At 44.0% G+C, this 26,648-nt stretch overlaps 1 protein-coding gene across 16 annotated transcripts in view, besides 4 other annotated features; it reads left to right on the forward strand.

Moving 5' to 3' along the window:
• The window catches only part of IL16 (interleukin 16), a 131,347-nt gene that overhangs the window by 70,557 nt on the left and 34,142 nt on the right, over nucleotides 1-26,648 (forward strand). For 14 of the 16 annotated variants that reach the window (NR_148035.2, XM_047432447.1, XM_047432448.1 and 11 more), the window contains 6 exons: nucleotides 6,504-6,612; nucleotides 12,391-12,533; nucleotides 16,270-16,380; nucleotides 19,822-19,936; nucleotides 25,549-25,622; nucleotides 26,290-26,506. Coding sequence is in view for 14 of the 16 variants with exons in the window: in XM_047432447.1 (XP_047288403.1) it covers nucleotides 6,504-6,612; nucleotides 12,391-12,533; nucleotides 16,270-16,380; nucleotides 19,822-19,936; nucleotides 25,549-25,622; nucleotides 26,290-26,506 (769 nt within the window). In the remaining 2 variants the exon portion in view is untranslated. Of the gene's footprint in view, nucleotides 1-6,503; nucleotides 6,613-12,390; nucleotides 12,534-13,385; nucleotides 13,534-16,269; nucleotides 16,381-19,821; nucleotides 19,937-25,548; nucleotides 25,623-26,289; nucleotides 26,507-26,648 lie in introns of those variants that run through there. The other 2 variants (NM_001352685.2, XM_047432454.1) reach the window with 2 other exon arrangements.
• Nucleotides 12,031-12,100: an enhancer, noted in NCBI's record as "active region_9949". NCBI's record gives its function as "activates an Ori minimal core promoter by ATAC-STARR-seq in GM12878 lymphoblastoid cells {active_cell/tissue: GM12878}" and the evidence as "EXISTENCE:reporter gene assay evidence [ECO:0000049][PMID:35858748]".
• Nucleotides 21,800-22,094: an enhancer, noted in NCBI's record as "tiled region #3481; HepG2 Activating DNase matched - State 12:CtcfO, and K562 Activating DNase unmatched - State 12:CtcfO". NCBI's record gives its function as "activates a minimal TATA promoter and a strong SV40 promoter by Sharpr-MPRA in HepG2 and K562 cells {active_cell/tissue: HepG2 | K562}" and the evidence as "EXISTENCE:reporter gene assay evidence [ECO:0000049][PMID:27701403]".
• Nucleotides 21,800-22,114: a biological region, named in NCBI's record as "Sharpr-MPRA regulatory regions 3481 and 15421".
• Nucleotides 21,820-22,114: an enhancer, noted in NCBI's record as "tiled region #15421; HepG2 Activating DNase unmatched - State 12:CtcfO, and K562 Activating DNase unmatched - State 12:CtcfO". NCBI's record gives its function as "activates a minimal TATA promoter and a strong SV40 promoter by Sharpr-MPRA in HepG2 and K562 cells {active_cell/tissue: HepG2 | K562}" and the evidence as "EXISTENCE:reporter gene assay evidence [ECO:0000049][PMID:27701403]".

Consider the following 26,648-nt stretch of genomic DNA (forward strand, 5'->3'; position numbering starts at 1 on the left):
TTTGAAAAAATGTCTATTCACATTTTTTGCCTATTTATAAAAATTAGGTTATTTGTCTTTTTATTTTTGAGTGGTAAGCATCCTTTGTATACTCTAGATACACAAGTCCCTTATCAGATATATGATTTGCAAATATTTTCTCCATTTCTGTAGGTTGTTTTTTCACTTTCTTGATGGTGTCCTTTGAGGCACAAAAGTTTTAAATTTTGATGAAGCTCATTTATCTTTTGTCATTTGTGCTTTTTGTATCGTATTGAAGAAGCCTCTCCCTAACCCAACCCAAGATTTACTCCTATATTTTCTTTAAGACTTTTATAGTATTAGCTCTCACATATAGATCTATGATCTATTTTGAGGTCCTTTTTGTGTATGGTGTGATAGAGGAGTCCAGCTTCACTCTTTTGCATGTGAATATCTGGTTGTCCCAGCACTATTTGTAAAATATATTTTTAAAATAGTTTTTCTATACCCCCTAGGGCATTGTATTAATAATAGTCCAATCTAAAACAAATATCCTGAGCTATGCCATTGGCAGTGGGAATGGGTGTGCTGGGGAAGGTTGAGAAGGTAAGATTATAAGGACATGGGAACTGCAGTCATGCAGGGGTCGGAGAGTAAGAACTTGAGAAGTTTTAGATTTCTGGTTCCCAACCTTCCCCTCCATATCAGGAGATCTGTGGCCTCATCATCCCACATGACATGTGGCCATCCCAGAACCAATCTGCTGGGGCCTACTTGTTTATCCTCATGACTGGAGGATCAAAGCCTGTAGCCGTATGATCAATTCAACCACAGGAAATAAGCCTCAATCAGGAGGACAGTTGAATTCTATTTTGTGGTTCTCTTAGACTGGAGCAGCTATGGCATCTGAGTTCAAAGAGAAAATGGTAAGGTTTGGATGGAAGGGGAATGCAGTCAGCCAACTCCAGAAGCATCAGGCTTCTGTCAGTAATGCCAGTGATGTCAGCCAGGGCTGGCTACATAAAAAATAAACACTCCTAACAGAGCAATGGAATTGTCATGATCTTTGGGGAGAAGTTTAGGCTTTGGAATCACCTTGTTTGCAGGACACAATGCCCCAGAATTCTCCATCTTCATTCTGGGTCCATTCCTTGGTTGCATGAGAATCTTGTTTGTTTTTGTTTTTTTCCCCATTTCTTGGAGTTGACTGTTTAGCCCTAGCAGTCACATGACCAATCCTAACTTTGGAAAAAATATTTAAAGAGTTCTCTGGACAGTTGACCCCATTTCTCGCTCAGTTGCCATGGGGACTGGCAGATGGAGAGACTGCTACCCAGGTAATTACGGGGTGTATCACCCACAGAACCTCTGCCCAGGGCCACAGTCTCTGATGAGAATAGGGAAAATGTGTTTAGAAATGATTTTGACAGCCCCTGACCTCGATGACAAATCCTCAGCTCTGACAGCAGCCCCACCTTGAGAGCAGAAACAGAAGAGTTCTGTTCTGTGTGCTGGGAGGGAGTCACACTGTGCAGACGTTCGTGGGGCTCCTACAGAGAATCCTTTGATGAGAAACCTCTCCACCCAGGACATACTTGCCAGAGAGAGACCAGATGCTTTGTTCTTATGTAAGATGTTCTGACATGTGATCATTTGAGAGAGGTGCCCTTTAAACATAACCATCAGTTACTATTAAAAGTAAAGAGCTGAAAGTGATTTTAGAGATTGTTTAGTTCACCCCTTAGCTTTACTAAAGAGGAAACTGAGCCCAGATAATTGACAAGCTCAGAGTCATGAGAGAGTTAGTGCTGCTGGTCTCATGACCCTTTCCCTACGACTCATTTCTGATGAAGAAACTGTTTAGCTTGAACAATAACTTGAAATAGTCCCAGAGTATAGATGAGTACTAGACCCTTGTTGGTGTCGAGAAAACAGAAGGTCCAAAAATGTGTGCACTGCCTCTGTTTCAGGAACCTTTAGGAGTCATATGGCTTTATATGTGTTTCATAGGAAATTGCTACTTAGACCTCAACTTGGGTCGAGATAGAACATTTCTATTCTCTCCTATAGTAGCCATCTAATGAGCCACTTCACACCACGGCCATGTTGAAGTGAAGCACATCAATTTCACAAAACTGTCAAAGAACTTGATTATAGCCTAGTGAGATACACCTTACTGGAGCCTCCAGCTACTTCAGAGACTGGCTGCATGGCAGTGGGAAGGGAACAACCTTCTGTCATCTGTGTCTGAGATGGCTTTGGTTGGAGGATACAGACTTGTGAAGGAAGGAGAAGGACTCATCTGCATAGCCTTGCGCATGCACAAGAGGCTACACCTCCCTGCATGTGGAAACTGAGATTGCTGTTCCCAGGTGCCATGGAAAGAAGAGACTGAGCCACTGAAATGTGGAGAACTGAGGGGCCAAGTGGGGACCCAGTCGGTTCAGTGTCTTTTGGATAAGGCCTTCTACAGCCAACATTGAAACCCCCAGAGAAAGCTTTCCCTCTAACACGGCATTAAGTATTTACAGCTAATCTGGGTGGGCGGGGCAGGGAGAGGCTCCACTTCCTATGATTCTCCTGCCATCAATTGGCTTTACAGGCCAGGCAATTTCCAACTGTGCCTTGGACTCAGGACTTACAAAGAGGATTAAAAGAAAGATGTTTAAAAATAAGCAGGCTTTAAGTCTACCAATGTGACAATTGAAATAAATGTAAAAGTAATCATTTATTTTTGGTTTGATTCTAAAAGTAGTATATTCTCTCTATGGAAAATATAGAAAATACAGAAACATGTGAAAAAATAGTATTCATAATCCCATCACCCAAACCCACTCTTGCTAATTCATGAGAGCAAGACCTTGTGTTTCATGTCTGCTGTCACATCCTCAGTACTTGGAACAGTGCCTGGTACAGAGTAAGTGCTTAATAAACATTTGTTGAATGAATGAGTGTTACTGTTTTGGTATACTTATTTCCAGCCTTTTTGCCCTTTTTCTATGTATATTTTACATGATTGTAGTCAGTCATCATCATTAGATAATATCTTTTTTTAACTTACTATGATAACACAGGTATACCTATGTCACAACTCTTTACAAACTTTTTTTTTTTTTTTTTTTGAGACAGAGTCTCGCTCTGTCACCCAGGCTGAAGTACAGTGGCAGGATCTTGGTTCACTGCAACCTCTGCCTCCCAGGTTTATGTGATTCTCCTGCCTCAGCCTCCCAAGTAGCTGGGACCACAGGTGCATGCCAACATGCCGGCTAGTTTTTTTGTATTTTTAGTAGAGACAGGGTTTTGCCATGTTGGCCAGGGTGGTCTTGAACTCCTTGAACTCCTGAACTCCAGTGAACCCCCCAATTTGGCCTCCCAAAGTGCAGGGATTACAGGTGTGAGCCACCGCACCCAGACTCTACATTTTTAAAGGTGCTTAGTATTCGATGTATTGTGTACACATCATTTACTTATTTACGCTCATGCAGCTAGATATTTGAGATAAAATACAAATTTCAAAGATCCTTTGCACATAGGGCTTGCTCCTCATGGATAAGTAGACCAACTGGCTGTTTTACTAGGCTTCCTTATGCTCAATGGACCCGAAAAAATTAATAAAATCACATTTTATTTTTTACTTTCATAGTCTTACTGGATTACATAAAGAAGTTTTCACTTCTCAGTGCCAGAGGGAGGTCTTGAAATTAGAATCAGGACATTACCTTCTCAATCTACTGTAACTAAGAAATATCTTTTGCATATTGTGTTTTATGAAGCATTGAATTCAGAGAACGACTCATTATGCTAAGTTCTGGCAATACAGAGTCTCAAGAATTCAACTGAACTCAACTACCTTCTCTATAGTCACTGCTTTCTCCCCTTTAAAAGAATTCCCTGGTTAGCCTGGTTATAGAAGGTAATTTTGTCCAAGTTAATATAGCACCATCTGCTGCTGAAAAGGAGTCCTTCAGGATGAGTTCTCTAGTTTTAAACATTGACTTGTTTAAGAAATAAAAGGGAATTGACATGTGGTTTCTTGCAGGATCCCCTTGTGTCAGAACTGGAAACAATCTTTTTCAAAAAGACTGAGTGGACTTCTGGCTCCAGTTGGCGACAGAGTACACTTGATTAACTCCTCCACCTGTTAGAAATTTCTATCAAAATTCAAAAGGAATATACAAATAGGGAGAAATGCATGTCAGAAACAGGAAACCATGGAAAGGGGCCAACACATTCTGGAACTCATGAGAACTTTCTGCACGACAAAGTGCAGGTGAGATTGGATTGAGGGAAGGGCTCATTAGCCTGCCATTGACCACATAAGAGGGAAAAGCCAAGGGAATGAGGGATTCCAGCAGAGCCCCTCAATACCTACTAGCTCACAGTGGCAGGGGCTGGAGCTGAGGGTGGGTTATTTGGCACACAGCGAGAGGCAAGCATAGATCCTCCCTCTGCTCTGGAAAATGCACCAGGTGCTGGGTTCTGCAAACCCTTGGCACATGAAATTAACCAGGCATTGCTAAGCCTGGCTTCTAAGAAATGCAGTTAAGTCAGTTAGGATAGAGTTATAATAGAGTGTCAGTGTCTCCAACAAACTATACCCTGAAACACTAAGTCCCAGAAAGCATTTAAGCCATCTAGTTTCCAAGTTGAGTAACCAATATCCAAAGATTCTATACTCAGCCAATCATTCACATGTGACAGCCACAGAAAGACATCCCTAGACATGCAGATATTCAGAGAGCTTTCCTGAAAGAAAACACACACACAGACACACACACAGATGTACACACACACAGAGCATGTGCACACACATACAAGAATTATGGTAGAGTAATAAAACCAATATAACTCAAGAGTTAAGTGAAGATCATTGTGGCTAACAAAGTTACAAAATAGAATAACCAGAAAACAGCTTCAGGAAGAGAAATAAAGTAATTAATACCATCATCCTCATTATCAGTCTCTATCCCTATACCCATCCCTAAAATCTCAGGATGAGGAGAGGGAAGAAAGTAAAAGTTGTCTCAAAATCTCATCTTAGATGAGGGAGAGTCATGTTTTCTGTTTCATTACTGACCCTGGTATGGAAATGAGTCCAAGTATGTTGTTTAATATACTGCTTACATACTCAATACTATAAAATATTTTCTAAATTATTAGTATAAAAAGAGAGCAAAGAAAATTTGATTGTCTAGTCACGATGACTCACGCCTGTAATCCTTACACTTTGGGAGGCTGAGGTGGGAGGATCACTTGAGCCCAGGAGTTTGAGATCAGCCTGGGCAACATGATGAAACTCCGTCTCTACAAAAAATACATAAACTAGCTGGGCATGCTGGCATGCATCTGTAGTACCAGCTACTCAGGAGGCTGAGTGGGAGGATCTCTGGAGCCCAGGAGGTCAAGGCTGCAGTGAGCCGAGATCACACCACTGTACTCCAGCCAGACAACAGAGCACCACCCTGTCCTGACCTGCTCTCTCTCTGTCACTCGCGCACGCGCTCTCTCTCTCTCTCTCTGTCACTCGCTCTCTCTCTCTCTCTCTATATATATATATTTGTGCATATACGCACACACAACATGTGCACACACACACAAGGATTATGGTAGTGAGTAATAAAACCAATATAACTCAAGAATTAAGTCAAGATCATTGTGGATAACAAAGTTATAAAATAGAATAACAATCAGAAAACTTTCAGAAAGATAAAATAATTAATACCGTCATCCTCATTATCAGCCCATATCCCTACACCCATCCCTAAAATTCCAGGATGAGGAGAGATATATAATAAATTAACATATATATATTTGATTGATACAGCAAGGTAGAAAAAGGATAAGAGAACCATAAGCAAGTTTAACAATATTGATTTTTAAAAGCCCTAAATTAAATATTTGCATATAGTAATAAGCAATATAGTAAAATCATAATACCCTTAATAATGCATGGATAGTTCAATATTAAGAAATCCATTTATATAACATTCATTCCGCAAATAGTTGCAAGTGCCTGTTATGTGCCAGGTATGCCAGAACAATGTAACTTGCTCGATCTTTCTCTCTAAAACATACCTTCCAGGCTCCCTATCCACATTGCTCTCTAGTTCTTTTCTTCAGAGCACTTATCATTCTCTGTAATTATCTTTCACCTTTATTTTGCTTGTTTATTGTCAGTCATCTTTCACTAAAATGCATTTTCTCCAAGATCAACATCCTTGTCTGTCTTGGTCACAGCTATGTGCACAATGTCTAACAAAGAACTTGACATCTAATAGCTGAAGGATTCATTCAATTTGTGTCGCATTAGTTTACTATTAATGTAATCTATTCATTCAATATTTGTAATTAAACAAATGAATGTATGTCTATGAGTGAAAGGATGATGGTGATTCTAAATCCCTGCTCTTATAGTACTTATCATTTCAGTAGGGGAGACAGATAATCTGAGTACTTCTATGGTCAGTGTCAAAATCCAATTTTGCTAAGCACAAGTTTTCTATTCTAACTTGCTGAATAAAAAGACGGCAATTGTTTTGCAGGAATCTTCCACAGCTTCCTCTCGAGAAAAGCCTGGAAAACTAGAAGCACAAAGTAGTAACTTCCTGTTTCCTAAAGCCTGCCACCAAAGGGCACGCAGCAACTCAACCAGTAAGTGTCTTCCCAACATGTCTTCAGGAACAGAGCTCAGCTGTTCCTGGATAGCAGGACTATTGGGAGGATAGCGGCTCTCTTCTGGTCCAGTTGGAGTAAACTAGCATTGGAGTCTGCTCAGCTTCATAGTGTGTGCATGCTCTGGCTAGCCAGAGTTCTGTGTTGTCTAGCCAGCTCTCCTCATGGCTCCAAGTGCCATGCTGGAAAGACCTGGGTGTGGGGAAGAAGAGACCGGGCTTTACTCCTGCTGTGTCTCCTAACATGCTCCTTGGTCTTGGGAAGGCTTCTGTCTCTTAGCTGCAATATGATGGAAGTTGAGGTTGGAAGAGCTCATGATTTTTATTAGCTGAAAATAGAAGATGGCTAGTACAAAGTCAAGAAAATGTGAAGAATGCAATAATACAGAAAAACCTGAAGAAATTAAAATCACACCAAATCATAATATTAGAGATCATCTATGTTAACATATTCAGTTATTTCCCTTCTATGCCTACATATGCTATAAAAAACTTCACACACGCATTTATTTATATATAACTATTTCAGGTCATCAGAAACTCTTGAAAACACCATTTTTTAGTGGATCCATGGTATTTTATTATATGAATTTATGAAATCTAGTTAACCAACTCCCTATTATTAGATATTTATAAAATCTACTTAACCAAATCCCTGTTATTAGGTATTTAAGTCATTCTCAGGTTTTCACTAGTCTAATCAAGTTGCTGAATAGGTACATGAGATTTTGTCTGAGTTTGTGATGATCTTTCAAAGAAAATACAGAAGGCAGTGGCCTGGTTAAGAGCTCACATTTGGGAGCTAAGGCACTTGGATCTGGGTCCCGCTTCCAGAACTAGTGACCTATGTGATCTTGGGCAAGTCCCCTCTGAGTCTCACATGATTCTGCTGTATGATGCACCATCCTTAGTGATTTCCTATTATTGGAAATAAAAATATTTTTAAAAAGTTACTTGCTTTTTTATCATCAATTTTTACTTATTCTAGCATAATTTTCTAGAAATGGAATTTGGGGTTAAACGGTAGATGTAGTTTAAGGCTTTTTATCTGTATTGCCAAATTTCAGTAGCTAATATTCTTTCAATAATATATATGAATACCTATTTCTTCAATCATAGCTCACATGGGATTATGATTTTTGATAAATATTTGCTTTACAGCAATTTACAGATTTACAGGTTTTTCTCCTTTCCCTTTCTCCCTCACCCATTCTTTGCTTTTTTACTGTTTTGTTTTGCAGCCAAGACCAGCTATACAATTGGTAGGACTCACTGTAAAATGAAAAGGCACGATTGCTGTTCAAAAAATATATGAATAATTTCAAAAAGGTAGAAGAAAATCTTTGAACCAGGTTGGGATTCTTCAATCACAGGGCCCCAGGTGACTGTGCAGGCCACGTGCCCCTGAAGCCAGGCCCTCTTGCCCCCTGGGAGCTGAACCCCGCAGAGCTCCCTGGCTCCCTGGCATCCCCAGGGCTCCCTGGCTCTCTGGCTTCTGATTGAGTTCAGTCAATGACAGGCATCAATGGAGGACTGGCAGGGGGAAGAGAGCCACCAGGGTGTTTCTTCCTCTGCTCCCCCACCTTGGTGCTGCAGTGCTGGTGGTGGCTGTGCCCCTCTATGACAGTAAATTGTGTTAGGGTGGCCTGTCGGTTCCAGTGCCCACTGGGCTCTGGTAACACCATTTCCCCACCTTACTCCTTCAAGCCTGGGGTGGTAACAGTGTCTGGTACCTCAATAGGCCTCGTTATTTTTCTAACCCGGCCCACCCCTCTGTGTATGGCTCCTTTACCCAATTCTCAGAATCCCAACTGAGTGTGCCTTTTGTTTCTTCCCAAACCCTGATTGATACACTGATAAAAATAGATGGAAAAAAAAAGTACCTAGGCTGGCTGCCACAGCTTCTGCCTGTCATTCTAGCCCTTTGGGAGGCTGAGGCAGGAGGATCGCTTGAACCCAGGAGTTTGAGATCAGCCTGGACAATATAGTGAAACCATGTCTCTACAAAAAATTTTTTTAAAAAAAGAAAACCCACTAGGCATGATGGCTCGTACCTGAGGTCCCAGCTGGTAGGAGGATCCCTTGAGCCTGGGAGGTTGAGGCTGCAGTAAGCCATGATTGTGCCACTGCACTCTGGTCTGGGCAACAGAGTGAGAGCCTGTCCTGCCCCCCCGAAAAGAGGTGAAGTTAAACATTCATACAGGTGAAGTTAAACATTCCTTCATTTATTTATTTTGTTTTTGGTGAGTTTGCCTATTCTTTACTGAAATAATCATCTTTTTATCATTAATTTATAAAAAGCCTCTTGGTTAAATTAATATTTGACGTCATACTTGTTGAAAATACTTTCTCCAGTTCGTTGCTTTTATTTTAATTTTTTAACATTAAGGTGTTTTAATCTTTATGTAATCAAGTTTACTGATCTTTTCTTTTTTAATGTGAAAGTTACTTCCACATTCAGATAACTATTAAGTCTGTGACTATATATACTTCTAATTTGTAAATGATTTATCTTTTTTCCCTCAAATTTACTGTATTATCTGTAGTTTATTTTTGGTGTTTGATATGATGTAAGAATCTAGGTAGATTTTTTTTTTCTAAATGAATAGAGAATTATTCTAGCATCACTTATTTACAATCAGTTCCTTTTATTTTGCGTTTTTTGTTTGTTTTGTTAATCTCATGCAAACGATATGCAGTTAGGTCCCTGAAAGCAAATTTGGCAATTTTTTTAAGAAGAGAAGCTTAAGGCCGGGCGCAGTGGCTCACGCCTGTAATCCCAGCACTTTGGGAGGCCGAGGTGGGTGGATCACCTGAGGTCAGGAGTTCGAGACCAGCCTGACCAACATAGAGAAACCCTGTCTCTACTAAAAATACAAAATTAGCCGGGAGTGGTGGCACACGCCTGTAATCCCAGCTACTCAGGAGGCTGAGGCAGGAGAATCACTTAAACCTGGGAGGCAGAGGTTGTGGTGAGCCGAGATTGTGCCACTGCACTCTAGCCTGGGCAACAAGAGTGAAACTCCATTTTAAAAAAAGAAAAGAAGCTCAGATAGTTGAAATCAGTGTTATAGATCATATTTATTTTTACTTAGCTCTTTTTATGCTTTTTATTTTGATGATTCCTTGCCATTTGTTTGTTCTTGGCCTCTTGCTATAATGATTGTGAAAGGTTTATTTAATTATTGTCTCTACTTCTGATTTCCTTAAGTTTTAATTAATTACCCAATTAAGTTTAATCAATTAATTAATATCTGACATAACATTTTCCAAATTGTCCCCCTCATGAAAGATGAAGAAGTTAGCTTGGTGTTATTCATCCCTTTTCCATGGATTTTTCCATTTTGTAATTCAACATAACTTTATAAACTCATGACAATATGTAGCTCTAATATAGCTTTTTTGTATATAATCATGACAATATATAGCTCCCCTTTCAAAAACTATTTTTTTTTGTTTTTTTTTTTTTTGCATTGGGTTGTAATAACCAGCTTTCAGTTAACTCACTTAATACTCTACACTTAACTGGTTTAAACTTCCCCCAATGGAGATGATAATTTTGGTACATTTCCTAGTTGGCTGGAGTGCGTCAACAAGCAATGTTCTGAAACAGTGGGCCGAAGTGGGCACAGAAATCGACCCCAGACCAGGGAGAGTTTTGGAGAACCCACTCTGTCCTGACTCTGGTCTGCGTCCCCACAGATCTGAATGTCTAGTGGGAACTGGAACCCCCACACAAGTGGAGCTGGGTGTGGCCTGAGCAGTTGCACTGGGCTCTCCTGTGGCTCTGAGGTCAGGTTGATCTGCTCTGTGAACCATTCCAAGTTGGCAGCCTGTTTGTTCATCCTCATTCCCTCTGAACCCAAAGCATGCACCACTGGCCACCTTCAAGTCACAGGTCACCCTTGCACTGCTGTGGATGGAGAGAATGCAGGGAGACTGGGATTCTGGAGGCTGAGGTCATGCCTCAGACTGTTTCTTCACTGATCCGGAACCCTCTGGGCTTCCATTTCCTCACTGATAGAGGAAGGAGTAACTCCAGCAGGGTTCCCAAAGGACAAATGACGAGCCACCTGCATCATCTGCACAGGCTGACAAACATACAGGTTTCCCCAGACCCGAAACGTGCAGATATGGATCAATAGGTTGGGTGGAGCACTGAAATCTACCTTTCTATTAAACACTCCGGATAAATATAATGCACAGGCAGAGTTAGCACTAGAGGATGTCTAGCCTCTCCTCTCACCCCCCTTTCTTGATTCTGTGTCCTCTCTTTGCAGCGTGTGGTTTTCTGAATCTTCTGGCTTCCTCTCCCTCCTGGTCCATCTGGGAGCAGTTGGTCCCTGTAACTCAGAGAGGGCCACCTACTTGCGCTGAAGCAGCTGCTGGGAGCAGCTGTTCTTGCAGGGGCAGGTTTCCCCAGCCACTCTCTGGGCCCCGATGGACCAAAACCTCTCCCTTCTTCACCTTGTCTTTGTTCCTTTCCTCATCCCCTTTTAGGGATCTCACACCCTCAGAGATACCACTCCTCTTTTCTTCTCAAGCTACCCTGGCCAGTGGCTTCCTCTCTTCAGCCTATAAATAAGCTTAAGTCTTTCCCATCCTGAAAATAAAAGCAAACCCAACCCTGCTCCATCCTGTGTTTCCTTTGAACTACCACCAATCTTACCTTTTCCTCTAGGGGAATTTTTCACAAAAGCCTGTCCATTCACTCGAGCCTCACTTGGCCCTCAGGATACTAGGCAAACCCTGCCCCTCTCCTGGCCTCTAGAACGGAACTGCCCAACACATTAGCCACATGTAGTCTTGAGCACTTGAAATGTGACTTATTCAAACAGAATGTGCAGAAAGTATCAAAGACCCACTGGATTCAAAGACTAAGTGCAAGAAGAAAAGGATGTAAAATATCTCACTAATAATTTTACATATTATTTATATGTTGAAAGAACAATAGATATAACAGACCAAATAAAATATATTATTAAAATTAATCTCTCCTGTTTCTTTTCACTTTTTAAATGTGGCTACTAGAAAATTTTTTAATTACATAGGTGGCTGGCATTATATTTCATTTGGGAAGCACTGTTGTAGACAATGACAGGTTAAATCAGATCATCTGTGAAGGTTTTCCCAGCTGGATGTGGTAGGGTAGGGAGGTAGGGTAGAGTTCCCGGTTGGATGAAAGGAAGTCTGTGGTTTCCACAAAGTAGAGGAAGCCTGTCGCTTTGCATTTTTGCAGATATCCAAAGAATCAAGAGTTGTCTCCGTGTGTGTGTATCCCTGTGTGTGAGTGCCTGTGTAAGAGCCAGTCAGATAGGATCTCCCCTGCCCCTGTTCCTACTGGGTCTCGCCTGTTTGTGCTTGTCCTCGGAAACCTTTGTGTTTTCCTCCTTTCTCTCCTTGGTTGGGATTGAAAACACCGGGGCCTGGATCTGATGCAGCATTGTGGTTTCTGAGAGCTCAGCACACTGATTGACTTGCAGGAAATGCCTGTCAACTCTTGTTGCATTGAATGGAGGTAAAATGGAAGTGAGAGTCCCATCTGCACCCTGCAGTACAGACAGCATGCGTGGAGATCATGACAATGCTGCTCATGTCTTCCGCGGCCACCTCTCCCCACCACGCACCTGGCACAGGGTGTTAAGTGGTTTACAGTCACACTGGCCCCTGGCTAATGAGGGGCTGATATTGTTCTTAGTTGAACTTTGCATTTTGAGAGCACAAATGATTTCTTGCTGTTTTTCCTCTTCTGGTTTAGGTGTTAATCCCTATTGCACAAGAGAAATTGATTTTCCAATGACCAAGAAATCTGCAGCGCCCACGGACAGGCAGCCTTACTCTCTCTGCAGTAACAGGAAGTCCCTCTCTCAACAATTGGACTGTCCAGCAGGAAAGGCTGCGGTAAGAATGGAAGGAGGGAAACTCAGAGAAGAGTTTCTCCCGGGGAGAAGGGAGGGGCCCAACATTAACAGTGGCTGAAGAGGCCTTCCCAGTAGTTTTTTTGTCCGCAGAACTACAGAGGAGAGGGTCTCGCTTAGTAGCTGCAAGAAGGTACAACCATCTCTGGGCTGAGAACCGCATTAGAAATGGTCATCCATTGAGCGCCCCCTTGTGCCAGGCACTTGCAACTGCTGCCACGTGTGTGCTATTAAGAGCTAACATGTAGAGAACACGGCACGCGGGGGGACCCTGAACTATGGCTTTGCGTGGATCGCTTTATTTCATCTGCACATACTCCTAAGAGGTAGAAGAGGGAGCTACAGCTTGGGCAAGTTAAAGGATTTATGCACATTCACACTGTTGAGGAGAAACAGCTGGGACTTCAAGTCTGATCTTTATGACTCTGAAGCCTGTGCGAAAAGGCTTTTCACTCCTATAATCTAGTGACCTGCTTTACCAACATTGCCTCTAATTCTTAAAACAAGCTTAGAAAGGAATATGTTGTTAGTCCCATTTTATAGTAGGACACTGAGGCTTGGCAAAGTGAGTAGCTGGGTTTATGCATCTTAAAACCTATAGGACCAGAATTTAAACTGCCCTGTGTGCTCCTCAGTCCATGACCTTCCCACTACAGGTGTCAGCTTGCAGGCAGAGAGCTAAGCAGATATAAAGCACAGTGTACCCTACACACGTCCCACCAGCTTGCCTTTCAGCCCCAGCCAAAGCACGCTGTGCTGCACGCTGCCACTTTTGGTCACACAGCGCCCTCTGTCTGTAGCATCTCACCCCTCCTTCTCTGATCTCTATCTCTAGAAACTGCCCCAGCCTTCAAAAACCTTCCTAAGGTTCTCTTTTGCCTGGGAAAGCTCCTGATCTCTCCAAAGGCGTGGACTTCACATTTTCCCAAATGCCCATCAGGAAGCAACTGCACTCCTCTCACAGTGCTCACCCAGCCTGTCTTGTGAGTGTCATTTATGTTAGCATTTCATCTCACCAACTGACTCTCCCAAGGAGGGTCTCCACGGTCAAGCAATGTTTCCCTGCATAGTACATAATAGATGCTCAGTGAATTTCATCTCTCTCTTCCCTTCCTTTCCTTGAGTCAATGTGTTTTTCATTCCCAAACTGGGAGTGTGGTGTCCTAGTGTTAGAAGAAGGTGGCTTCCCTGGTGCCACCCTGAGCTGAGAACTTTCCCAGTCCCTGGTTTTCTGCACATCTGGGGTCATACAGGAGTACACTGGAGCCCTCCAATATCTGCAGCCAGCGCTGGGTCCCTGAGGATTGGGCTAGCGGGTACTTCCTGGGGGAAGCTGCTTCCTGTCTTTGCTGCCTCATGCACTAGGATCCAGGTCCTTGGGAACAGGAGGCCTACCTGGCCAGCAGGGATGGGCTAAAGATCAGCCAGTAGTAGCTGCCTGGGAGGCTGTGCTGAAGAGAATTGAGGGGTTACATTCCACCAGGAAGGAGTGCTTCAGGAGATTGGCAGTGTTTTGGGGACAGGAGTGGGAGACTCAGTTATTCCCTCTACTCAACTCCTCAAAGTTTAGGAGGCAATTAGACACTATGTTAGTTGGAGACAGAACCAATAAGAGATGTATAGATAGACACACATACACATACGCAGACACACATACACAGACACACACACACACACACACACACACAGAGAGAGCGAGAGACTGATCATAATGAATTGGTTGGTTTATGGGATTATGAAGGTAGGCAGGTTCCAAGATCTTTAGCATGAATTGACAAGCTGGAGACCCAGGGAAGCCTATGGTTTAGACCTAATTAGAGTCTAAAGGCCTGAGAACCAGGAGAGCCAATGGTGTGGTTCCCATCCAAAGGCCAGCAGGCTCAAGCCCAGGAAGGGCTGATTTTTCAGTTGGAATATAAAGACAGGAAAAAGGCTGATGTCCTAGTTCAAAGGCAGTCACGCACGAAGGATGCTTTCTAACTCAGGGGAGGTCTGTCTTTTCTCTATTCAGGACTTCAGCAGATTGGATGAGGCTCACCTGCATCAGGGCAGGTGATGTGCTTTGGCTACAGATTTCAATGCTCATCTCATTCCAAAGCACCCTCATAGACACACACAGAATAATGGTTGACTAAATATATGGGCACCCATGTGGCCCAGTCAAGTGGACACAGAAAATTAACCACCACGGATGTCCATGCGTGATTTCACATTGTCTTCATAACAGCCCTCCAAAGGAGGAGGAGAGGGAGTTATCAGAGGAAGGTTGTTTCTGGGAGAGAAGAAGAGAAAGTGGGATCCACAGTGGACGGGAAGGCCAGGGAGTGGCTTACAGGACCTGGGTATTTCCTGGGTGACTTTGGAGAGAGCGGCCCATCAGGTGTGGGCAACTGCAAGCCAACAAGAGAGAGGGTGATCCAGAGAAGAGCAGCTCGTTATCCAGGGAATGCTAGTAATAAAGAAAACATGCATTCCATGTTCGCTGCCTTCCAGGCATGAGGCGATGTGTTTTACAAACAGCTATACAGCCAAGGGAGTACAACCCAAAGAGCTAAGTACTGTTAATATCCACCTTTGACAGATACAGAGGCCAGGCTGAGAGAAGTTAAGTGGCCTTCCGAAGGTCATCTAATTCATAGCAACAGGATGGATATGAACACAGGCAGCTCAGAGCCCATGCCCTGCTGCTTCCTCTGCCCAGGTGGCATGGGGACAGCATGGGCCTGGGAGTCAGCAGCCCGGGATCCTGGTTCTGCCTTGCGGCATCTCCGATATCAGAGAGCAGGGAGCAAGCAGCTACCTCCACATTCACAGCTGATGTGTCTGCTTTCGTGGACATGCAGGAAGCACAGCCTTCAGCCCCAGACTCTTTCCAAATATTAAATGCTGAAAGTAGCAAACAGTCTTAGAATTTATAATAATGACAAGAAACATTTCTAAGGCACTTGCTATGTGTCGGGCACCATTTTAAGCACTCGCATAGATTTATTCTTCAAAATGACACTATTAGATAGGCCCCATTAGGACCATGCTTTTACAGCTGAGGAAACTGAGGCAGAGAGGGCTAAGTCACTAAGCTAAGGTCACCCGCCAGCTGATAATGGGCAGAGTCAGAAGAACCCAGACAATGGGGTTCCCAAGTCTAAGCTCTCACCACTAAGCCGTATTTCCCCTCTGCAGGGCGGCTTCCTGTGGCACATAGCTCTGGTTCTCATTCATGAATAGTTAAGCCTGTCTGCCTACCCCAAAATTACATTCTGAGTTTTGAAGTCTTTGGGCTCCGCCCCCTTGCCCACCACCTCCTGCCTGGCACAAGGGGAGTTCTCAGTAAATGTGTCTTGGATTGAACATAGTCTCAGGGCGTTCTTGGTAGCTGGCTTCCCAAATTCTGCCTGAGACCTGGCTTATGAGGACTTGTCCTGGAGGCAGCGTGTTCTGTGATGTTAACCTGGGCCCTACTTCCTTGATAAACCTTAGTGAGCCTTTTGGCTGCTCATCTACATCAGGCTCAGCAAAGCAGGCTCCTAGAACCAAGGAAGTCCCTCCCCACCATAATCCTACCCACACCCCACTAACCACATTCTGGTTGTTACGCTGCCTGCCCTTAGGAGAAAGAGGACTTGGTTCCTCTCTTTGGCTGGGCTTTTCCCCTTCCTTGTGAGGCATGTGCTGCTGTCCTATGTGGCTAATCTTCTGCCTACTCTGGTTCCTTGTTGCAGGGAACTTCGAGACCAACACGGTCCCTGAGCACAGCTCAGCTCGTGCAGCCATCTGGGGGCCTCCAGGCTTCAGTCATCTCCAACATCGTGCTGATGAAGGGCCAGGCTAAGGTGAGAAGGGATTGTGGCCAACAGGAAGTCCTGGGGGGCAGCACCAGTCTCCAAGGAGCTGCTGTGTCCAGGGAAGGATGGGAATAGGACTACTGGGGTGTCCTGGCGCATCAGAAGAGACAAACACAAGAGTGGCTAGTCTTAAAACTCACACCTGGCTGAGTCCAAGCAGCACACATTTTTCTAATTAAACAAAGTGATTGTTTTCTTGTAAAGGATGCCAGTCCCTGCCAGCTGCCTTAGCACTTTCAAAGCTTGTTCTCTAATTCATTCCTGGCACAGTAGTTTCCAGGACTTAATTTTACCTGATACATAAATCCAAATTGTTTACATAGATTTCTGGATCCTGAGTTTACCTCTGCCATTCAGATGTTGGCATAATAAAGCAGGGACCCATATATTAATTTATAAAAACATATGCTACCTACTACATGTGGGAAATTCAATGGTTGATAGTGCTTTTGGCTGTCAATTGTAGCATCTGGAAGAGTCAGAACTAACTCTACCTCTCTCAAGATGATGAAACATCATACTGATCTCTGCTTCATAATGGAGATATAGCCAAAGGGGATACAAAAGTATTGGTGGTGATGGTGAGATAGGGGGCGTACACAGGTTTGCACTGCTCCCAGAACATGCCACCTTGTGCGTGAGGTTGACTGCAAAGCTCTCAGGCCAGCCCAAGCAACCCAGGTGCTAAAGTAATGAAAGGGTGGTTTCTTTATGTAATATAATTTTTTGTGTGGTGTGAGAGGAGGACCTAATTGCTACTTATGGTCTGTCCAGGGGGAGGGGCCCCACCATACACCTCAAGTCCTCTTTCCCTCCATCTCCTGTCCCTTCTGTCTGCTGGGAGCTTAGCAGGAAATAAAAAAGAAGAGAGACATGAGAGATGCTGGGACGAATGCTCCTCTGATCACAAGGGAGTAACTGTCTTCTATGCTGACTTTCTCTGAAGGACCCATTTTCTGATTAGTAAATCACGATGCTTTTTCCCCTTCAATTTAGGTAGTAGTATTTTTTTGGATTGACTTTTAAATTGTTTGCAGTGCCCAAAAGAAGGTGAAATGGTAAACGCCACCAAAACTCATGTGAAGATGACCAAAAATGGTTTAAGTTATCTTGGTGTGCACAAAATATGCATTCAATGAGTAATCTTTATGAGGCCGGGGGGTGGAAGAAGATGAATCATTTGATATAGAAATCCTCATGTACAGAGCAGTGATGATGAGTTCAGAAATAAAGCAGGCTTCCCACTATCTGGCGATAAAACCTACACCCCAAGATCTCGTCACTAACAGGATGACAAGTAGCAGTGAAGCAGGGGGAGGAGGAGTTAGAGCCAGAGGGATCAGCAAGTGCTTGAGGTAGAGTCAAAAGCAAATCACACAATAAAACCAGCCACCAAAACCCGGGCATTGTGCTATGGGCTTTGCAACCATAACTCCTTTAATCCCCACAACAACCCTCCTATTATCTCCCTTTTATAGACGTGCAGCCGGGCGCACTGGCTCACGCCTATAATCCCAGCACTTTGGGAGGCCTCCTGTTTGAGTCCTGGAGTTGGAGACCAGCCTGGGTAACATAGTAAGACCCTGTCTCTACAAAAATAAATAAAATAAAATAAATTAAATAAAATAAAATAATAAAATAAATAAATAAATATATAAAATAATTAACCCGGTATGCTGGCACATGCCTGTAGTCCCAGCTGCCCAGGAGGCTGAGGTGGGAGGATTGCTTGAGTCCGGGAATTTGAGGCCACAGTGAGCTGTGATAGAGCCACTGCACTCCAGTCTGGGCAGCAGAGGGAGACGCTATCTCTAATGAATATCTCTGTGTGTATGTGTGTATATAGATATGGAGACGGGGGACCTGGGAGGTTGCAGGACTCGTCCAAGGTGACTTGGTTAGTGAGGAGCCGAACCAAGGCAATGACCCCAGGCTGTCTGACCCCTGGGCCTTGTTCTTAACCATGACGCCATCCTGAGTCCCCAGGATGGGTGAGACTTTGAGTCTAGAGCAGCCGTCTCAGCCAGGACAAGGCTAGGGGCCCGTGGAGGAGCCCTGAAGGGGCTCCTACCTCACCTTTTCCTAAGCCTGTGCTACTCCCGGACACCATTTGTCCTGCCCATCCTGGAACACACACCACCTTCACCAGAGGCTTAGAACAGCTGCTCATCCCCACGGCTCTCCCACTGACTCCCTACAGTGTCAAGAAGATGGAGGACAGCGTGTTGTCTCTGTGGCACGGGGTGATGCTCCTAATCAGCGCAGCGGCTCTGGCCTGAAGTAAACTGCCCATGAGCAATGGTTCTGTTACAGCAGTGGCCATCACTTTAAAGGGTCTGTCTAGGAGCCAAGCTACTGGCCACTGCCTGGCATGCTTGTACGTTGGACCCAAAAGCCTGGCCTCCAGGTGCATTTATGCCTTTATCCTGTAATACGTGCTTCTTGAGCACCTGCCTGAGGCCAGACACAGAAATAAGATGCATTTACTGTCTTCAGAGAGCTTATAGTCTAGAAAGCTGCTTATTAGACTCAAGCTATGCCCTCTAGGGCGGCATGGGGTGCCTTAGTCCTCAACAAAATTGAGCAAGTCACATGGATTTCCTTTGCTGCTTTTCAGGTCTGCCAGGCCATTCTGTGAACTCACTGGCCGATTTGCAGGGGAAGCTGTGCCCACCCTCCCTTCTCTTCCTGCTGTAGACCTCACTCAACCTTTCCCGGGACTTATTCCTGTTTGGCCTTCTCTACTGCCTTCTGGCTGCTCCCCAGCTGGAACTATCTGCTGAGCTATGAGTTTATTCTCCCAGAGCCACCTGTACAATTCCAGGATATGTTTGTTGGCTCATGGGAATCACCTAGGACAATGGCAGATAGAGCAGGTGCAGGAGGGAGAGCACGTGATTGGAGGGATGTCCTTGAGAAGGGGATTGAGAAGGCCTTTGGTGGGAGAAGGGCTACATTGTAAAGCTGCTACTATTATTACTATTGTTGGTATTTTTATGATTGTTGCTAGGCATTTTACTTTCAAACACAACCCTGTGAGTTAGGTAATATCATTATTATTTTAAAAGGAGGGAAACTGAGGTTCAGAAGCAGAAAGTGATTGGCCCAGGATTGCCAACTGGAGGGACAGAGCCAGGGTGCTGGTCTCCATCCAGCCTCCCTCTGTGTGGGAAACTTCAGATTCCCGCGAAAGCTCCAGACACTACCCAGCCCAGGCTGGCCTTCATGCCGCTGCTCTTCCTATTTTTGTTGTTGTTGTTGGTGTTGTTGTTGTTGTTGTTGTTAACCTCTGAGACCTCTGAGACCAAAGGCACCTTCTCTCCTTCCCAATCCCTTTGTTCAGGGCTGAGGCAGGCCCTCAGAAGGCATCAGGCCAATGAGAAGCATGGAATACTACCCCTAAATCAGACCTTCTCTTTTTTTCCCCAGGGTCTGGGCTTCAGCATCGTTGGGGGAAAAGACAGCATTTATGGCCCCATTGGGATTTACGTCAAAACCATTTTTGCAGGGGGAGCAGCAGCAGCCGATGGAAGGCTACAGGAAGGTAGGCTTCCCAGCCCTTTTCAGACCATGGTGGAGGAATCAGAAGCAGAATCCAGAATTGCTGGGGCCATAGAAGATGTTGGGAATGCAAAATGTGTCTTGAGTTGTCAGGATACGGCCAGCATGCATCCTGGGGTCTGCAAGCAATGGGGACACAGCTCCCCCGAGGGGGTCTTCATTATGACTGGCAGGTTGGTTGTGCATGTTTGCACATTTAGCCCCTGGCACCGTTACCCCTTAGCTGGTCTTGGGGCCAGCCTGGGTGGGACTGAAGTCTGAGGGGTCTGTTTCTGACCCTTCCCTCCTCTCACCCATTCTCTCGGCTGTCTTTCCCTTTCCATCCAAGATCCTGTCTCAGTTGCTGGGATCCGTTAACACCCCCTCTCCTTCATTCTCCCTGTCCTTCCTAACCCACAACCATAGGGAAACCAGGTTCAATGCTTCCAACCCTTGTAACGGATGAGTCTGATAAACATTTGCTAGGAGCCTACTGAATCCTAGGGTCTAGGAATACAGATAGAAACAATCAGGCATGATTCCTGAAGAGCTCATGATCTGCCACAGGGACCCTCTCTTCCACTCCCCACCCACCTTTCTTCCATCAACCCACCCCCTCTCAACTCTTTCATATCCTCACAAGACAGAAGCCTCATCCATCCTGGGAGTGAGGGGCCAGGGAAACAGAGCTGCCTGTCTTCTTGTCCTGTAGAGTCAGGGTTCCCCCCACCCCCACCTCCACCCTAAAGTCATTCATGGATTATTGAGCAACAGGTTTGGCCCAAAGAAATTGCCAGGTTTCAACTCAGGAGGCAAAGTTCAGGGGCTGGAAGTCACAGGGCAGAGAGTACCCACTGCAGGCCAAGGACTGGGCCATACACCAGAGGTCTGAAGAGAAGTGACTTCATAGCATTTTCACTCTTCTCTGTCAGCTCGCTTTCTATAAGCTATGCTGGGAGCCTAACCACCTTTAATCATCTAACTTGCTTAGGGCAGGGTAGGCACACTACAGTCTGTGGGCCAAATCTGGCCCACCGCCTGTTTTCAATGTCTCATGAACAAAGAAAGGTTATTACATTTCTAAATGGTTGAAAATTTAAAAGTGTTTTTGATTATTTTATGATATGTGGAAATGAAATGAAATCCAAATTTTAGTATCCATAAAAAAGCCTTCTGGGGACTCGAGCACGCTCATCCACGTACCTGTCATCCAGGGCTGCTTTCATCTCAGCAGGGTGCCCCCATCTCAGCCTCACAAAGTGCTGGGATTAGAGGTGTGAGCCACAGTGCCCAGCTAGAAAAAGAAACCAGAGAAAAAGGATGGATCATATACAATGGAACCATGATTAGGTGACAGCAGATTCATCAGTAACGACCAGGTCCAGAAGTCAGTGTAAACATAGTATTTATATCTGAGTTGCTTGGTGTAATGTTGAATTCAGAGAAAGTGCTCCCTGTTTGTGTATTGAACAAATTGAAAGAAAGGGAGAAAGTGGTTTTCTGTTCACATAGAAATGGATTTTATGTTACAGCATAGTGTGGAGTGGTTGCAGCTCACAAAGGTTAAAACTTTTACCATCTGGGTCTTTACAGAAAAAGTTTATCAACCCGAGCACTATGCAGAATTACACATACAGATTTTAGGGTGTGGGCAATGGCGAGCCTTTGAAGGTTTTTATACTATGGGAGGGACCTGCTGTGACCAGGGTTTTCAGAGGCTTCAGGAAGCAGAGTGTAGGATGAAGTGGGCCATTGTGAGCCCCAGGCTCCAGCTCCAAGGACTGCACAGAGGCGGTAACCCTGGGAGGAGAAGGGAGCAGATGAGAGAAGTGACAGAGCCTGAGCAGAGGTCGCAAAGGGCGGGGCGGGTCAGAGAGAACTGGAAGGTTTCTGGTCTTAGTAAACTAGAGAAAGACATTGCCTTATATAGAGTAAGAGGCACTGGAGGAGGAGGAGGAAAAGGAAGGCAAACCAGGATGTGTAGGTTTGAGTGGCAGAAGGGAGAGCGATGTCCCTGGATGACCACGAGATGGCGCTGTCCAGCAGGGAAATGACATCCGTTCTCTCTCCGTTCAGGGAGTTAGAAGTGAATGCAGACATTTGGGGAGCATGGACATTAGAAAAACAGCTGAAGTTACCAAGCAGTTGACGGGGGAGGAGGGGGGGGAGGGGAGGGGAGGGGAGGGGAGGGGAGGGGAGGGCCCAGATGCCGTTCTAGGGGAATAGCTAAATCAAGAGGGTGGTGGAGAGGAAATGTCAAAGAGAGGAAAAAAGAACAGTGGGATCAGAATTGGGAGTGTGCCATCATGTGTTTTATTATCTTTTGTACTTTTCTGTGTTTAAACAAAGGGGTGGGGGAAGGGTTGAAGTGGCAAGAAAAGAGAATATTGTGTTTTGTTCTCTTTCCTGAATGTAAGCCTGCCCAAGCCAAACTTTTTATTTTTTCTGAGCATTTGCCTCCCTTAATTAACAGCAATCATAAAAATTGAAGATTTCAATGAGTCAAGACTCTCAGCTAGTATATGATCCCTGATTCTAGCCTCAAACATTGACCAAATCATCTTTTGTAACTTCTTTTAAAAGTAAATATTTGAATCTTGAATTCAGGGCAAATACATTAGTTGCAACAAAAGTTTGGTGTACAGATCAAGGCTACTAATGTTTTACTTTTATTCCCCTTCCAAGAAACTATTGTGTAAGATTTATTTGGCAAAACCTAATCAGCCAGCTTTTACCAGATATAGCCAAATAAGGACAGGACATTCCAAAAAGCCCAGAGCTGGGCTGTGTGGCCCCAGTAAGATGGACATTCTAATAACTTAAAGAGAAGTCTAGCCCCTTAGGTAATTAAGAATGGACATTCTGAATTTTTGTTGTCTATCCTTCTTTCAGCACACATGTAATTATATTCTGATGTTTTAAATGTATCTATTTTCCTTCCCAGACTTGGAGTCTCACAATGACAAGGACTGGTTCCTTTTATTTTTCACTTTGGCTCCAGCAACCTAACAGACGGAACTGATCTGAATACTCTCCCCACCCTGCCTCCAGCCCCTGTTTCCAATACGTAGACTTGTGAAATAATATAGCACATCCAAAATCAAAATAAAGACGTGGAAATGCCCAGCTGCTAAGAAACAAAGAAACAACTTTAAATCTAAGAATGGCAGACTCAGGGGTTGATGATGTGGCGGGGAGGGCTGCTGGATGCTTATAGACCTTAAGGGCTGGAACTCAGATTTGAATGCCCACATGGGCAGAGGGGACAGAGCCTTGGGTCCATGTGAGGCTCTGAGAACCTGCACACAGCCTTGATAATGAAAGAGTTTCCCCTCAGTAAAGCCAACAGGCCCCAGGGGAGCAACAAGGAAACTTAACTTTACCCATGGCTCCTCAGTTGGCCAAAAACATCTCTCACCAAAAAGTGAATATCAAAATTGTGTCATATATGGGCATGCAGGTTACATTTATAGTTCCTGTAAAGCAAAGGTAATGCCAAGGTAAGAAATTAATATGAAAACTAGTCCCAAACCAGTGAAAACCTTGGGGTGCCAAATGGAAATAAAGGAAAAACTGGCAGTGACCTGGGGTGTATGGGAATCCCATAGAAAAACAGAATATCCTGAAAATGAGTTTATAAAGATTACATACTATACTACATCAGGAAATGTCCACTGTTGAGGAGAGTCAGCAGAAATAACAAAGAGGAGCGTTAGCCCTTAACAACTTAACAGAACAATCTAAAAGAGACTATAGAATTGCTATGTTTAAAATCATTTTAAAAAGATAAAAAAAGGAATATAAACTGTAAGACAAGACCGGAAACAGTAAAAAAAAAAATAAGTGGAAGTGAAAAAAATAACTTTTGGAAATGAGCAAAAAAAGCAGTCATTGAAATAAAAAACTCAATGGATGGCTTAAACAGAAGATTAGATGCAGCTGTAAGGAGAATTAGTGAACTGGAAATTATCCAGTAGGCCACGCAGATCAAAGAAGAAAAAGATGAGCACTAAAGAAATATGGAGAATAGGTTGAAAGGGTCCAAAATACATTTAATAGGAATTTTAGAAAGAATAGAGTGAAAAGGGAGAGATAGTATGCAAAAAGATAGTGGCTTATAATTTTCAAGAACTGACTTAAGGCATGATATTTCTGCTTGAGGAAACACAAAATGTTTCCTTTCTCTCTAGTGCATCATAGTAAAACTGCAGAATATCAAAGACAAAGGAAAAAGAAATCTTTTCTTTCCTTTTTTTTTTTTTGAGACAGGATCTCATCCTGTAGCCCAGGCTGGAGTGCAGTGGTTCAATCACAGCTCACTGCAGCCTTGATCTCCCAGGTTCAAGTGATCCCCCACCTCAGCCTCTGAAGTAGTTGGGACTACAGGTGCATGCCACTACATCCAGCTAATATTTGTACGTTTTGTAGAAACAGGGTTTCGCCATGTTGCCCAGGGTGCCCCCATCTCAGCCTCACAAAGCGCTGGGATTAGAGGTGTGAGCCACAGTGCCCAGCTAGAAAAAGAAACCTTAAAAGAAACCAGAGAAAAAGGATGGATCATATACAATGGAACCATGATTAGGCGACAGCAGATTCATCAGTAACGACCAGGTCCAGAAGTCAGTGTAAACATAGTATTTATATCTGAGTTGCTTGGTGCAATGTTGAATTCAGAGAAAGTGCTCCCTGTTTGTGTATTGAACAAATTGAAAGAAAGGGAGAAAGTGGTTTTCTGTTCACATAGAAATGGATTTTTGGTTACAGGAAGAATGATTCTCCTACAAGTATACTGTTGTGAAAAAAGGACTTGCAGTCAAAAGATCCAAGTCCTATTTATTTATTTATTTATTTATTTATTTATTTATTTATTTTTACCATATGACTTCGGACTTCTCTGAGTTCACTTTTCTCTATTGTAAAATGGGGTCTACATTGCATTCTGGAAAATCGTATCCAAACCACATCCACTGAGCAATCTGTAGACCTCATTCAGCATTGGTCCTGGGGATATATCATCTAATAAGACAAAATCCCTGTCCCCAACAAGCTGCCAGCCTGGCCAGGGAGTGACTGAGGGTGCAGGCCATTGATCACCACCCAGGGTGACAAGTGCAGTAGGTACAGTGTGACATGAACATAGAAAGGAGCTAAAGGTAGCAGGGGCCTAAAGATTAAGAAGGGATAGGAGGAGAAAGTGGAAGTATATTTTATTTGAGAAAATGGCATGGACAAGCATTTAACTGCACAGACCATTGTGGAAAATGCAGGTCGTGTTGCATCAGAAAATGATGCATGGGAGCAAATGGTGTGAGGGTCAGGGAGACAAGGAGGAAGGAGGTGAAGCAAAGAGGTGGGCAAGGACCATATCCAGCCAGGACTTGTGTGCCTGGCTAAGAACCCTGGGTTTCACCCTGGAAGAGAGTGGGTGCCAGAGAAGGCCCATGTTGCTGCCCTGCCTGCTTCGCAAGGGGAGAGCACAAAATGAGAAAATGTTCTTCCAGAGCTTCGTGCATCATACAAAAAGCCGGGCAGTTGGGGAGACTAGAGTTAAAGGTAATGATAATGCCCTTTGATTGGGCAACACTCTTCTTAGCTACACTTTCTCTCTCTAAACAGGTGATGAAATTCTGGAGCTCAATGGTGAATCAATGGCTGGACTAACACATCAGGATGCTTTGCAGAAGTTCAAGGTGACCATTTCTTATCAACACGTGACCAAACTCTGGGGCCTTCAGGCAAAGAAACCAAGCTCTCAGCATCCAAACCTACAAATTCAAACTGTGGAACCCTTCACATGAGGCACCTCACTGATGCTGATCTTGGCGCAGGGTTAAAAGAAGACCTGACTCAGAAAATAATAGTGTGATCGGGATTGTTGTGGGGGATTTTAAAACTCTTTAATATTTATAAAATTGTTTTAAAACACTCTGTGTATTTATCATGGTATATTTACAAATCTGTTTTAAGTTTTTAAGATAATTGCTAAATGATATTCCTAAGTCTCCATCTAGTTAGTTCAATTCATGACTCTATCCATCCATCTATCTATTATCAATCAATCTATCTATCTATCTCTATCTATTCATCCATCTATCTATCCATCCATCTATTCATCCATCTATCTATCCTTCCATCTATCTATCTATTCATCCATCTATCTGGCATATGTAAATATATATAGTAGTTGTGTGTATATATACAAATATGTCATAATATAATTTGTAACATGTATGAATATATGCGCACATTTATATTTCATACACATACACACACACAGAGGTGTGTTTCCTTAAACAGTATTTCTTCATCTCACCCTGGATTGCTGCTGGGTGTTGTAGCCCTCTCTCTTTCTTTCAGCAAGCCAAAAAGGGGCTCCTCACCCTCACCGTGAGAACCCGCCTGACGGCGCCTCCTTCCCTGTGCAGCCACCTGTCTCCCCCACTGTGCCGCTCCCTGAGCTCCAGCACTTGTATCACCAAGGACAGCAGCTCCTTCGCCTTGGAAAGCCCCTCGGCTCCCATCAGCACCGCCAAGCCCAATTACAGAATCATGGTGGAGGTTTCTCTGCAGAAAGGTAGGAGTGCTGCAGCTGTGTCCCGTGCCTGGGTCTCCCAGCACTGGCTGAGTCTCCCAGGCTTTCCTCACTTGGAATCAGTCCAGAGGTAGGGCAGGATGTTGTCTTTTAGCACATTTTACAGCTACTGCTTGGAGCCAGG

The sequence above is a fragment of the Homo sapiens genome, chromosome 15 (genome assembly GCF_000001405.40).
Source record: "Homo sapiens chromosome 15, GRCh38.p14 Primary Assembly".
Lineage (NCBI taxonomy): Eukaryota > Metazoa > Chordata > Mammalia > Primates > Hominidae > Homo > Homo sapiens.